The sequence below is a fragment of the Homo sapiens genome, chromosome 2, assembly GCF_000001405.40.
Source record: "Homo sapiens chromosome 2, GRCh38.p14 Primary Assembly".
Taxonomy (NCBI): domain Eukaryota; kingdom Metazoa; phylum Chordata; class Mammalia; order Primates; family Hominidae; genus Homo; species Homo sapiens.
Genome location: NC_000002.12, coordinates 172,293,268 through 172,307,404, shown reverse-complemented (window position 1 = coordinate 172,307,404; position 14,137 = coordinate 172,293,268). Strand labels below are relative to the sequence as shown.

The window sequence follows — 14,137 nt, the reverse complement described above, 5'->3', positions numbered from 1 at the left end:
TTATAGAAAAGTATAATGAAAAAATCAAAATCATCAACAATCCAGCCATCCAAGAGCCACCACAGTTAACATTTGGTATATCACCTCCTCGTTCGTTTGAATGAGATTTTTGTACAAAAGTCTTATACTATTGTTGATCATAGTCACATATCTTATCCATCTATCTCACAATATTGATTGATGGCCTACCTTGTGTTACAGATACAAAAATGAACAAAGTTCCTGTCCTCAGGGAGCTGCAATCCTCATGGGAAGATAGAGGATAAATGAATAAACATGAGTGTATGTCATATGCCAGGCAGCGATAAAGAGTATCGAGAAAAATAAGGCAGGGTAAAAGGGCTGGAGCATGGGGTACAGCGGGTCGGGTGAGGCGAGATTACTATCTTTATATGGAGTAGTTAGGGACCATCTTGCTGATAAAGTGAGATGCAAACAGAGACTGAAGAAAGTGAAGGAGCAGCCATGCAGTATCTCAGGGCACTGTTGCAGACAGAGGGGACGAGCAAGAGCAAAGTCCCAGGGCTGTAAAGACTGGACATGTTGGAGAAACATTCAGGAGTCCAGGGTGGCTGGAGTGGAGTGAATAAGGGGCAATGTGGTCGGAAATGGGGTCAGAGTTGGGGACTGGGGAGACTCAGATCATGGAAGGCCTGCAGGCCCCTGAGTATTCTGCTGTGTTCCACTTATTGTTATATTGTGAGCATTTCCCTACTTCAATACATTTTCTTCAACAGCATAAAATTTTAATGGCCGCATGAAATTCCACCATGTGGAATTGTAGCTAGTCATGTACCCGAGAGGAAGAGGAGACCAGAGTTGGTGGACAACTACCAATACTGGTTGTGCTGTGCCCCCTTAAGTAGAAAATGTCACGAGAGGACCAATCACTTAAAAAGCAATATGTCCAATGATACACTTACACAGTTCTGAAATGCTGTTTCTCCTCCTTCACGTCACTATTGCTCTTAAGGTCGTGATGCACCAGCCTATGCAACTGACCATTCCCTTTACTCTTGGGAGGTGCTAGAAGATTCGTAATGACCAAACCAAACTAATAAGAACAGTTACTGATCTTTGTATTTGAAGACAATGCTACTTTTGGTGCATTGCAGGCTGTGGCTTTTAGCCAATACTGAAACATGTGTTCAAGTAAATCCTTTCTATTCAACCAGACTAGACTATCTGCCTCTCTGCCTACTTGAGTACATGCATCTGAACTACATTAGATAAAATCAGCCTGTGGTAGGAATGGCAAGTTGTTCACGGATATCTATTCTCCCTTTCCGTGGAATAATCCATAACTTGGATCATTTACTTGATACTGGCCATCCAGAACAAAACTACACATCTCCCATCTTCCTTTGCAGTGAGGCGTAACCACACAACTAGGTTCTGGCTAACAGGGTGTGAGCAGAAGGGATATGTGCACCTCCAAGATGTGCTCTTACTACAAGGATCATGTCCTTCCCTTCCTCCTCTCCCCCTTCTTTTTGCCTAGAATGTGGATGTGATGGAGCAGTTTGTGGGTAAGGCGACACCCCCCAGGATGGTGAAGCCACAGAGTACAAGAAGCCTAGGTCTCTCACAACTCTAGCAAGCCAAGCCGCAGACTGCCTTGGACTTCAACGTGAAAGAGAAATAAACCTCTATGTTGTATAGGCCAAGTCTCTGTGACATCACCTGGGTGTGGATCTGAATTAACGCCAAGTTTCAGGAACTCAGCCAGGCGCAGTGGCTCCAGGTGTAATCCCAGCACTTTGGGAGGCCAAGGCAGGCAAATCACCTGAGGTCAGGAGTTCGAGACCAGCCTGGCCAACGTGGTGAAATCCCATCTCTACTAAAAATACAAAAATTAGCTGGGCATGGTGGTGAGCGCCTATAATCCCAGCTATTCAGGAGGCTGAGGCAGGAGAATCGCTTGAACCCATGAGGCAGAGGTTACAGTGAGCCAAGATCACACTATTGCACTCCAGCCTGGGCAACAAAGTGAGACTCCGTCTCAAACAAACAAACAAACAAACGAGTTTCAGGAATTCTTTCTGGCCTCCTGCCATGTCAGCAGAGGGCAGTCACATGGGCATCCTGTCTTGCCTGTCCTGTGCACAGCTGCTCCACAGCAGTCGCCACATGCAGCATTGAGGAATTCATTCCTTAGTCCCTCCCAACATCTGCTACTCATTCCCCAAATGTGTGTGAGCACCTGCTCTGTGCCTGGCAGGGGACACAGTCTTTGGGGACCTAACAATGAATAAGGTTTTTTCTGAAGAGTACCAGTCAAGTTATAAAGTTTATAAGCACAAGATGGTGGAGAAATTCAGAGAGCTATGAAATTCTGCTGGAAGGAACTGATGCTAAGCTTGAGATGTAGCCATGTCTCTAAAGGTCTGTGAATGGACACATATAATGCCAGCTCCACAAGAGGTGATGGTGGCTCTGGGAAAGGACTCCTAAGATGATAATGTCTTTTGCAACTTCCTGAATTGCTTTTCATATAAGTTTCTATAAAGTTCAAAAACCCTACCCAAATACAGTGATATAGACTTCGTACTAACATTTTAAAAGGTGATTAAAGCAAAAATGATTTTACTGACTCCCCCAAGTTTTTTACCTGCAATCCCTGTAACCTGAGGTGCCCACATGCCTGGTCGCCATTACTGCTCTTTCATAGAAACAGCTGGATGGTAGATGCAACTGGGTCCAGTCCAGCTTCACCTCCCACAGCCCCTCACCCAACCTCACTCCAATCAAACTCAACTCCTGCCTGTACCCTAAGCATGCCTTGGGCTTTCCAGCCTGTGTGCCTTTCTTTTTTTCTTTTTTCTTTTTTTTGAGATGGAGTCTTGTTTTGCCACCCAGGCTGGAGTGCAGTGGTGCGATCTTGGTTCACTGCAACCTCCACCTCCCGGGCTCAAGTGATTCTCCTGCCTCAGCCTCCCAAGTAGCTGGGACTACAGGCGGATGCCACCACACCCAGCTAATTTTTGTATTTTAGTAGAGACGGGGTTTCACCATGTTGGCCAGGCTGGTCTTGAACTCCTGACCGCAGGTGATCCGCCCGCCTCGGCCTCCCAAAGTACTGGGATTACACGCGTAATTACAGTGCCAGGAGTACTGTGCCCAACCCAGCCTGTGTGCTTTTGTTCAAACAGTTCCTTGCCCCTAGGAAACTCTTCCCCCAGACTGCCTGATGGGCTCTCAAATATCACAAGGACTTTCCTCATCCCCTGAGCAGAACGTGTCCTCACACACACATCCCAAACCCCACAGCTCCTTTTTCTCTCTCAAACTCCTAAGTGACTCTGCCTTACTTCTGACCAGATTGTAAAGTCCCTGGATCAGTGGCTGTGTCCCTGTGCCTTACTCACCTTGGGGTGCCTGCAGCACTTATCACAGAGCTTTGCATATGGGAGGTGCTTAATACTTACTAGATTTGATTAAGTTTAATTATCTCTCCATGGCATGGTCACACAATAAAAGGGCACAACAGGAGGAGCCAGGGCATGGAGATGACTTGCTTACCTTGTCAGTATGGCACTGGTTTTCTTCTATGTAAAATCAAATACTAATGATAATTCCTGCTTTGTAAGGCTTTGGGGAAGAATATTATAAATGCCAGCTCTCCATACAAACTATAATTCACTAACCAGCTGTGTGATCTTGATAAAGTGTCTTAACCTCTATGGGCCTCATTCATCTGGGAGAAAAAAAGAAAAATATTGGGTACTGGAACAGTTGTTAATCCATTTTTTAAAAGTATAATTTTTGACCATAATGAGAATCAACTCCAGGCAGATTAAAGACCCAAATGTAAGAAGCAAAACTTCAAATTCTTGGAAGAAAACAGAAAATATCTTTGTGACCTCAGTAGGCTAAGCTGCAATAACTGAAAGACCCCATAATTCATCAGCTGAAAAAACAAAGGCAGTTACGTCTCCCTCCCAGCTCAGCAAAGGCCTCCGGGCCAGCAGTTGCAGGTAGTGGCAGATCCAGGTGGCTGGCAGCTCTGAGCACCTCAGTGTGAGGTTTCCCAGGCTCTCTGGTTGCTGCCATTTCAGGCCACTGCAGGGAGAAAGAGTGGACATTTAGAAACAGATTTCCTTTGATACAAGTGAGGTAGACTTTGCACGCATTACTTCCAGATGTACTCCACAGGCACAGTCCGCTTCACTCTACTATAAAAGAAAGAAGGGGTGAATTTGACTGGACACCAGTAGTCTCTGCCATAGTAAGCAACCCCTAAAGGAAAAGACTGATATATTTAATTGCATTAACTTTAAAATTCTACTCAACAAAGACAACAAAAAAGTAAAAAGGACAAGCATCAAACAGGAAAAAATGTTGGTAACATATATAACTGACAAAAAGTAGTATCCAGGATCTATGAATAATTCTTTCAAAAGAATAAGAAAAAAATTTGTAATAGAAAAATTTGCAAAATATATAAACAAAAATTGCTCAGAAGAAGAAACCCAAATGGCCAAATGTGAGGGAAAAAAATGCTGAGCCTCATTAATAGGGAAAAGCAAATTAAAACCATAAATAGATACCATTTCATATCCATCAGCTTTGCATGAAATTTTTAGTTTAACATTACTAGAATCAAGAGCAATGGAATTCCATCACTACTGGTAGTTGTATAAATGAGTGCAACCATCTTGGAAAACAAACTGACACGACTGAGTAAAACTGAAGCTGTGCATATCATATGATCCATCCATTCCACATTTAGACCTATACCCTAGAAAAACTCTTGTACCAGGGTACAAGGAGAGCTTACAAGAAAGAACACTTATAGTAATTATTGTGTGTAATTGCAACAACAATTATATGCAACCTGAATGTCCATCAGCTGGAGAATGGATAAACAAATTATTTGTTCATACAATGAAATACTATACAGATGCTTCTCAACTTATGATGGGATTACATCTTGATAAACCCATTACTGGGTTGAAAATATAAGAGTGCATTTTCAACTTACGATATTCTCAATTTGTGATGGGTTTGACTAGATGTAACTTCATCGTAAGTCGAGGAGCATAATGAATGTATATTTTGCCTTCATACCATCCTGAATTAAAATATCCTAAGTCAAACCACTGTAAGTTGGGGACCACTTGTATAGTCATTAAAATAAATGAATTAGCTTGTAGTCCCAGCTACTTGGGAGGCTGACGAAGGAGGATTGCTTGAGCTTAGGAGTTTGAGGCTTCAGTGAGCTATGATTGCACTGCTGCACTCCAGCCTGGGCTACAGAGTGAGACCTTGTCTTTGAAACATAAAAATATAAATAAAAAACACATTAGAGCTATACAGATTAGCATAGATGGATATCACAGATATAGTTCTGAATAAAAACAGTAGGTTGCAAAAGAATCATACAGGATGATGCCATACAGAAAGTTTCAAAATATGCCAAACAACACCACATATATTTAGAGATACATAAACTTGTAGTGGAAGTATAAAAGAATGCATAGCAGCCTAAACACAAAATTCAGAACATGAATTTTCCTAAGGATAAAGGGATGGAGGAAGAGGGAGATGCAATCAGGGCAGGTATATGGAGTGTTGTGGGGGGGTGTCAACAGAATTGATACTCTTTTATTTCTTGAACAGGGTGGTGAGTATATATGTGTCTATTTTATCTCTTTATCCTTTTTATCTGTCTTAAAATATTATGTTCCATGATATACTTATGTCATGAAAACATTATTCTGCCATAAAAAAGAAGGAAATCCTATCATTTGTAACAACGTGGATGAGATGGAAGGCATTATGCTAAGTGAAATAAGTCAGAGAAAGACAAATATTGCATGATCTCATTTATATTTATAATCTAAAAGAGTCAAACTCACGGAGAACTCATAGAAGGTAGGGGGAATGGGGACATGTTGGTCAAAAGGTACAAACTATCAGTTATAAGATGAATATGTTCTGGGGATCTCATGTACAGCATTGTGACTATAATTAATAATATTGTATTGTATACTTGAAATTTGCTAAGAGAGTTGCTCTTAAATGTTCTCACCACGCACGCAAAAATAATAACTATGTGAATGATAGATGTGCTAACTAACTTGACTGTAGTAATCATTTCAAAATATATATTTCAAAATATATACACTTATCAAGTCATCACATTGTACACCTTAAATAGACACAATTTTGTTTGTTAATTATACCTCAATAAAACTGGAAGAAAAAGAAAGAGAAGGGATCGTGGTAGTCAGCCTCCAAGATAGTCCTGGTGATCCTGGCTTGGTGTTCGCACCCTGTGTAGTTCCCTCCCGCATCATACCAGGGCTGCCTGAACAATAGAAGGCTGCTTAAGTGATGGTATGTGACATCCAACACTGGGTCATAAAAGACATTGCAGCTTCTGGCTTGTTCTCTTGCATCACTTGCCCAAGGGAAAGCTGTCTGCCACACTGAAGGACACTCGCAGCTCTATGAAGAGGCCCTATGAAGAGGCCCACATGGAGAGGAGCTGAAACTTCCCACCAACAGCCCATGCCAACTGGTCAGCTATATGAGTGAACCACCTGGGAATCAGAGCTCCCAGCCCCAGTCAAGCCTTCAGATGACCGCAGCCCAGCTGACATATGACTGCAACCATATAAGAGTCCCCGACACAGGACTATCCAGCCAAGTTGCTCTGAACTCCTGACCCAAAGAAACCATGAGAGAAATAGTAAATGATTATTGTTGTTTTGAGCTACTGAAATTTGAAGTGACCTGTTATGCAGCTATGAATAACTAGTGCAGGGTTGTATTGGGTGACCACCAGGTTCCCTTTTAGTTCCAGCATTCTAGGCTTTTAGGCTTCCTCTCACTCTTTATCCCATTTATTCATTCACTCAATCATTCAACCATCATGTATGAGAAATTCCAAAAGCCTTAAGATTACCTCTGACTTCCTTTAGGATGTAAGTCCTCGGCTGGAAATGATCTAAATAGGCTAATAGTTCAGCAGTTTGGTACCTCTTAGTTTTACCTAGAAGAGAACCCTCTCACAAAAGAGATCTTCCACACTTAATTTCATGCCACTGCAGAAAGTACCAGAACAGCCTCAAAAGGGAGAGAGAGCCTTGTGCCTTTAACATAGAATTCATGTATATTCATAAGCACAGAATCTGGAATTTTATTTGATATGAACCAGTAAAAAGCAAAGTCATATGTTTTAGCATATATGCTACCTGAAAAGATTTCTCCTGCCTGCCAAAATTTTACCTGCTGCTAAATTTTTGCTAACCACACCCACCAACCTCCCTCCCTCTCCATCTGAACTGCACCAGCTACTTTTGATTGTTTGCCAAATCAACAGAGTTGAGAAAACACAAAGACACACTTGTAGGTAAATATACTTAAGAATCAGCCTACCAGCAAACACACATCCTACGAAAGCATAACAAGAATAAAACTAAAAAGAGGCTTGGCCTGACCATGTCGGCTGTGGGCGAACTTGGGTACATGCCAACTCACACAACTGCCATTAAAAATGAATTGCATTCCCAGGGATGAATCCTGACATGACGCCATTGGGAAAGATGTTTGGCTTCTTTAAAAAAAAAAAAAAAGCTTCACTGCTAGCATTGCTCAACTTCTCAGTTCTCTCTCTTTCCTTCCTTAAATTTCCCATGCGACTTTGCATTTACCTAGTATCATGAAGAGTCACTGACTTGGGATAAGAGGACCTGGGCTTAACACCTGGCAATTGGAAACTAAGGGGTGTTTATAATTTGGGTTTCTTTGGTAGACAGGAGCCCACATGAACTCAGGCAATTTTACTGGAAGGAAACTAAAATAACTCACAGAATGGAAGGAAGAGCTGAACATTCTCTACACACAACTCCAACATCTTTCTCTCCCAGGGCATCTCTCCTTAAGATTCTAATCCCCAGCAAAAAGAATTCAGTGGCCTAGCCGGAGCCATATGCCCAACGTTGCGGGTCAGGGAGGGAAGGGATCCGAGAGGTGGGACTGTCCTGTGACTGGCAGCCCCACCAGAACACAATGGGGGAAAAGTCAGTATCCAAAAGAAAGGGATACTGGGCTGGCAAAATAAGAGGCGTTCATTCACTGTGCAGCCTCATCTGCTTGTCATGAGGCTCAAATGAGATCATGGACCTACGATCCCATTTTAAATCCCTAGAAAGTGTAAAGTTTATTTTTACTTATTTGTTCACTTCTCTTTCTTTAATTTGAAGTTGATCAAGAGCTTTTCCTTCTAACACTCCTATTCCCAAGAGGCCTGGAGAAAGCTCCTGTCAAGCTGCTTGTTGGCTGCAGCAAACTCACCAGCACCAGATCCTGAAGGTCCAGGGTGCTGAGCTCCAGTCATAGCTGTCAGCCATGAAGAGAAACCAGCAAATCACTACCAGCACCCAGCCATGTTGTTTGCACTAATAATCTTAGAACAAATGCAACTGCTTGGCCAAATGAAAGAAGTGTATCCAAAATGACCATTTGTGCCTCCCTGAGTGTTTTTGAGATCCCCCTTTATGAAGCACCCATGGTATAATGCACAATGATATAGTTCCCAGCCTTGGCTGCAGCTCAGTAGCAGTTGCCTATGCTGCCAAGTCAAGTAAAATTAATCTGCTGCCAAGGGAATTACAAAGAAATCATAGCAAACCTAATATTGGGCCACAGAGCGCAGACCCCTCTTTTCCCTTCGTTTACCCCAAATGAGGATTCCAGAACTTTGACAGACTGACTTCTTTCCCTTCCTCTCTCCCATTCTCCACCCTGCCTCTCCCACTCTCCTCTTTAAGGATTCTCAGTTTATAATGTCTTTTTCAGGTTCTCTCCTTCCTGTAGCTTTTGGCTATCAGCTTCATTTCATCTAGATCACAAACAGAACTTTGGCAAATAGAGACAACAGGGCAACAGCGTGATGGAGACGAGTGGGCAAGTAGAAAACAGAAGGTTCTTTAGGAAGTCAGGCATATGTTTCAGTAGCCTGTGAACCAGCTCTTGTTCTTTATCGTGGACATGATCCCTGGAAATTGTAAACAACATAAAGAAAACTGACCCGATGCAGACATAGCCCCACCTGGAAGTTCACAGGTGTATTCCCATGGTAATCTTCAAAAGTTTCTGTTCAGCTACCCGCATCTCCTCCTTTGCGTCCTGGAACGGGATTTTTCTTTGTTCCCAGTTCTTGAAATGGTAATGAAGATTTTCCTTGTCATCTCTGAAACTTGTGATGTTGTCATGGGAGACAAATGCATCAGTGTTAGTAATCCTTAGATAAAAGGTGCTTTACAGTTATGAAAGAATTATCTTTAATTTTGTCTCTGGGGTATATGGTGAGGATTAATTAGTTAATCTGAGTAAAGTGCTATAATTGGTGGGAGGAATTATCAAAACCCTGGGGAAGGAGTAGTTTTGAATCTAGTCAATTAGAAGTGTTCTGCTGTTAATGACAGCTGAGGTAGCCGTCCTTGTCTCTCAGACGTCACAGACCAGCTGGGTTTCCAGCAACATCCCAGACCATACACCACCCGCCCAGGGTGAAAAGGTGAAAATAGCTCCAGGTAAGCAGAGGGGGAGGAGGGATGTCAATGTTCAAACAGGACCTGAATCAACCTCAGATTCTGTTCTTGTCATTGGCCCTACCTGGGGACCCAAGGACATTTGTGTGAAATGGAGTGGTAGGGAAAGAATTCCCACACAGCTGCTGGGTGGGTGCTGACTCAGCACAGAGCTGCCCTGGGAGAACAGGGGGTGCTGGCAAGGAAGGGTCCCCGCCAGGCCAGGCAGCAGACAGACCTTGAAACTCTCCTTCTCCATGTCCTCATGTACAAAATGAAAGAGGGAGCCAGACGTTTAGGTATTGTAGGAAGATGTAGTAACAGCAAATGCTTACACAGTGCTTACGACAGGGCAGCCACCACCTGGGTGAATCTTTATTCACTCAATTATCACGACAGCCCTAGAGACGGTTTCCCCACCTTGCAGAGTTGATAAAAGTTGGGTTTAAACCCAGATGGTCAGATTCTACAGCCCATGCTTTTAACCACTACATCCTGCTGCCTGCCTAAGTATAAAACCTCCGTATGAGCCTCTCAGTTCATGAAGGATCTGGGGTGGGGGAAGTATTTTTAAAGTGTCAAATGAAATTCTCTGAGGCTCTCCACAATTTAAGCCTGGGCTCATAGAAATAAATAGCTCTCTTGTTCTCTCAGGTGTCTGAAATCCATGATAGGATACAAAAATAACAAGTTCGCAAGTACAACAGCTCTGTCCTCTGAGCTTTTAACAATCTTAAAGTGAGTCACATGTTGGCTTTTAAATCTAGATTGTATCCTTAAACTAAAATAGTTGTTTAGACAACGGTGCTTTTGGAAGTCTCCTAGCAAAACTGGCCAATTACGTGAACCCCAAATGCCAAGCTTATCTGGTTTGCAAAAGCCATTTGGAGACTTAAGTGCACTGATTTGAGCAATTTTACAAGGGAATCTTAAGGTGAAATGTAAGCATGAGAATTTCTATCTACTCTCTTCTGGTTCTGCATCCTAATATATCAATCAGTCAATGAACTGCTGACATTTGCATAATACACTGGAAAGATCATGAGGACCAAGGCTGTACCATAAACAGCAATTTTTAAATTTCAGTACCTAATTTTTATTTGCTCTCTTTTTCTCAATTCAGTTTCTTCTAAAACAAACAATGAATTTAATATGCATACTCTTAGGTGAATTTTTTTAGTTCATAATGACTCATTAGAAATCCAACCGCCCAGATTTTCTGGGTATTTTGCAAGCCTGTGATGTATATAAAAATCACCTGGGGACCCTGTTAAACTGCAGATTCTGGTTCAGTAGGTCCAGGAGGAGGTGGGAGGGAGGGAGCCCGGTGTGGGGTGCTGAGATCCTACATTCCTAGTAACTCCCAGGTAATGCAGATGCTGCCAGTTCCCTAACACATTCTGCGTGTCTAGCTCTTAGACCACACTGAATTGACAGGAAGAGACAGCTCCTGGCAGTAGCGTTAATGACAAACCAACCTGACTAGGAGTCCTTTGTAATGTGATTTTAAGGGCTTAATTTGAGAAGCATTCTCAACTTACAAAAAGCGGGGGAAACCCTGCCACCTAAAATTTTAGTCAGAAAAATTATCCCTTCATCTTCTCAAATAAGAACACCTCAAGAAGAGAGGCAACAATTTATTCCAGGATGTGGCCAGGACCAGAATTGAGAGCACTGTGCAGTTTTTGGGAACACCATGGAGGGAACTAAGGGATGAGGAACTGGGGAGGGACCAAGGATATCTGGAATGAGGACTGAGCCTGGGGGCCAGAGGAGACTCCACAGGTGTACTGTACCTTCCGCAGGTGACAGGAGGACCCTGGCTGAAGGTCAGTCACACTGTGGGCTCGTAGTCCTGCTCAATTTTCCTGCCTTTTGGAGGTGGTTGAACATGAAGCCTCAATAAGGCTTTCCTGATAGAGAGGGAGAACTAAATTTAGAGCCAAGGAGACTGCATGAAGCTTCTGATAAGAAGGGAAAAGCAGCAGCAAGGGAACGCCAGGGAGGACAAATGGCACAACATGTAAGAGCACAGGCTCTGGATGCAGGCTGCCCGGGGCCACACCTGCCTCAGCCACCAAGCATATCTCTAAAAGGCTGGTTGTCAGTGAGTGGATAAAGAAAATGTGGTATACATACACCATGGAATACTACTCAGCCATAAAACAGAACCAAATAATGGCATTTGCTGCAACCTGGATGGAGCTGGAGACTATTATTCTAAGTGAAGTAACTGAGGAATGGAAAACCAAATATCATATGTTCTCATTTCTAAGTGGGAGCTAAGCTATGAGGATGCAAAGGCAAAAGAATGATACAATGGACTTCAGGGACTCAGGGTGCGGGGAGGGGAGTGAGTGATTAAAAGACTACATATTGGGTACAGTGTACACTGCTTGGGTGATGAGTGCACCAAAATCTCAGAAATCACCACTAAAGAACTTAGCCATGTTACCCAAAACCACCTGTTCCCCAAAAGCTGTTGAAATAAAAAATAAATAAAAGTAAAGGGCTAGTTTTTTAAACTCTGTGTACCCTGCTTCCTCATTGGTCAAAGGTAATGTGAAGAAACTGGTGGTATCTACTCTAATATATACTCTCTATACTCTCATTTTTTGTCTTATGACAGAACTCAAATATTTACCTGTGTTACATTGTGACTGGGAAACAATAAGACTGCATTTCCCAGCCTCTCTTTGCAGCTAGATATGAATACATAACATGTGAGTTCTGACCAATGAAATGTAAGCAGAAGTATTGAGATTTCTACGAGCAAAAGAAGATGACCCTTTTACTATCCCTTCCTGCTTTCTGCTACCTGAAACAGAGATGTGATGACTGCAGCTACTGCTGCTATCTTGGACCAAGAAGTAACCTTGAAGTTACATGCCAAGAATGGTGACGGAGAAAGGTAGACGTCTTGATGACACTGTGGAGCCACCGAAACAACAGTGGCCGGGCCCACCTCCAGACGTTTTGTTTTTCACATAGGAGAAAAACTCTATTTTTTTTTTCTTTTTAAATAAAAAGCCTCCAGTTGGGGAGAAAAAAAAAACCCTTCTATCTTATCTAAGCTAATATTGTTCAGGGCATTCTGTGTAAGCAGCTGCACCAAATACTACCTGATACATGGGCATAACGTGAAGTAACTGGTTCATTTTTTTTCTGTAAGAACTAAGTGAAAGAATGTATGTAAAACTCCTAGTGCCCTTCCAAGCACACAAGAAGTCTCAGTATTGTTCATCCTTACATTTAAGTGATGGAGAGGGTCAGAGCTTAGAATAACCTTGAGAGCTGAAAGGGAACTTAGTTACCAGCAATCTGCACCCCTCCATTTTAAAGATGAGATGCCTGAGTGCTGGAGAGGCCAGGGGCTTGCACAGGGCACCCAGCCTGGTAGAGGCAGCTCAGGTCTCCTCATGTCTGTTCCAGGCTCTTTCTCAAAGCAGAGGGTATGGAGCAGCTGACATGAGAGGGAATTGATGAAGTCAAGAGGCGACCCCTAAATAATAGGACATCTTCCCACACGAAAGCCCTAAGGGGGAGCAAACGTTTAATTCTGAGGTTCCTCATTCAAACAAAATCCATCTAAATTTGATTATTTACTAAACTATCAGGAAGCAGGGAGTCGAGAGGAGGGAAGGCATAAAGAGATCAGGCTTGGCTTTATAACCAGTTTTGCAATATTGGTGTCTGGAAGCCTGCCAGGTCAGTCAGCCACTGCGCTGCCATGGATGGAGGCCTGGGGAACTGGGAATGAAGAAAACAGCCTTTGCCGATGGTGTTTCCTTGGCTGGCCCCTGCTCAGGACTCAGGAATAACTGCTTTCTGGACCCTCTGAAAAGTCCCCTTAGGGGCCATCTGACTCCAGAGGCCTGTGGTTGTTCGCATGCCTTCCCAACTCTGGCCCAAGAGATCGCTTCCCTGCCTTAGAACTAAACAAGAAGTCATCCTGTGTCCGATTGAGGCGTCTCAGGGGAAAGGATTTAGAGCAGGCCCCTTGGGTTTGTAACAAGATCACAGTGGGGGAGTTATCTTGAGGACTTGAGGGGGAGCTGCTTCTAATCTGCTCAGCAAAACAGTCTCCATCCCAATTTTCACATATGCAATAAAATGCTGGCTCCAGTAGCTCAAGGAAGCTCCATGATAAGTCACCCCAGAAGCCTCTCAGGCAGGGGTGGCAAATGGGTTTCATTTCATGTGCCACCTGCTCAGTACTGGTGGCCTGGAAAACTGTGTTGAGAAGGATCCTGAAGCTTAGTAGTAAGGAGTTCTGCAGCATATTAGCAATGTCCGCAATGAGCCAGGCAAGAGATAGATTCATGGGTCCACACACTGACCATCTTTAGCCTGGGTATGGCAGATGTGCAAGAGCCATATTAGACCATCAGCTTCAAACTAGACCACAATAGATCTGTCTTACATGGACTTTTCGAGGACCAGACTGTGGCTTGTGAATACATCCCTACTCCCTTCTTACAGATGTTGCTTACAGAAAGAATACATTTTAAATTGCATTCATTTTTACCATTTTTGCACTTGGAAGCATTTAATCTGCAGAATCTGCTGAATGGGACATTATCTGGTATTTACTC

General features: G+C 43.1%; 1 long non-coding RNA gene across 5 annotated transcripts in view; it reads right to left on the bottom strand.

Annotated features, from left to right (window-relative positions):
• The window catches only part of LOC107985960 (uncharacterized), a 119,748-nt gene that overhangs the window by 62,769 nt on the left and 42,842 nt on the right, over nucleotides 1-14,137 (bottom strand). For 2 of the 5 annotated variants that reach the window (XR_001739773.3, XR_001739775.3), the window contains one exon: nucleotides 9,062-9,208. This is a non-coding gene — a long non-coding RNA (uncharacterized LOC107985960). Of the gene's footprint in view, nucleotides 1-6,188; nucleotides 6,289-9,061; nucleotides 12,827-14,137 lie in introns of those variants that run through there. The other 3 variants (XR_001739776.2, XR_007087297.1, XR_001739777.1) reach the window with 3 other exon arrangements.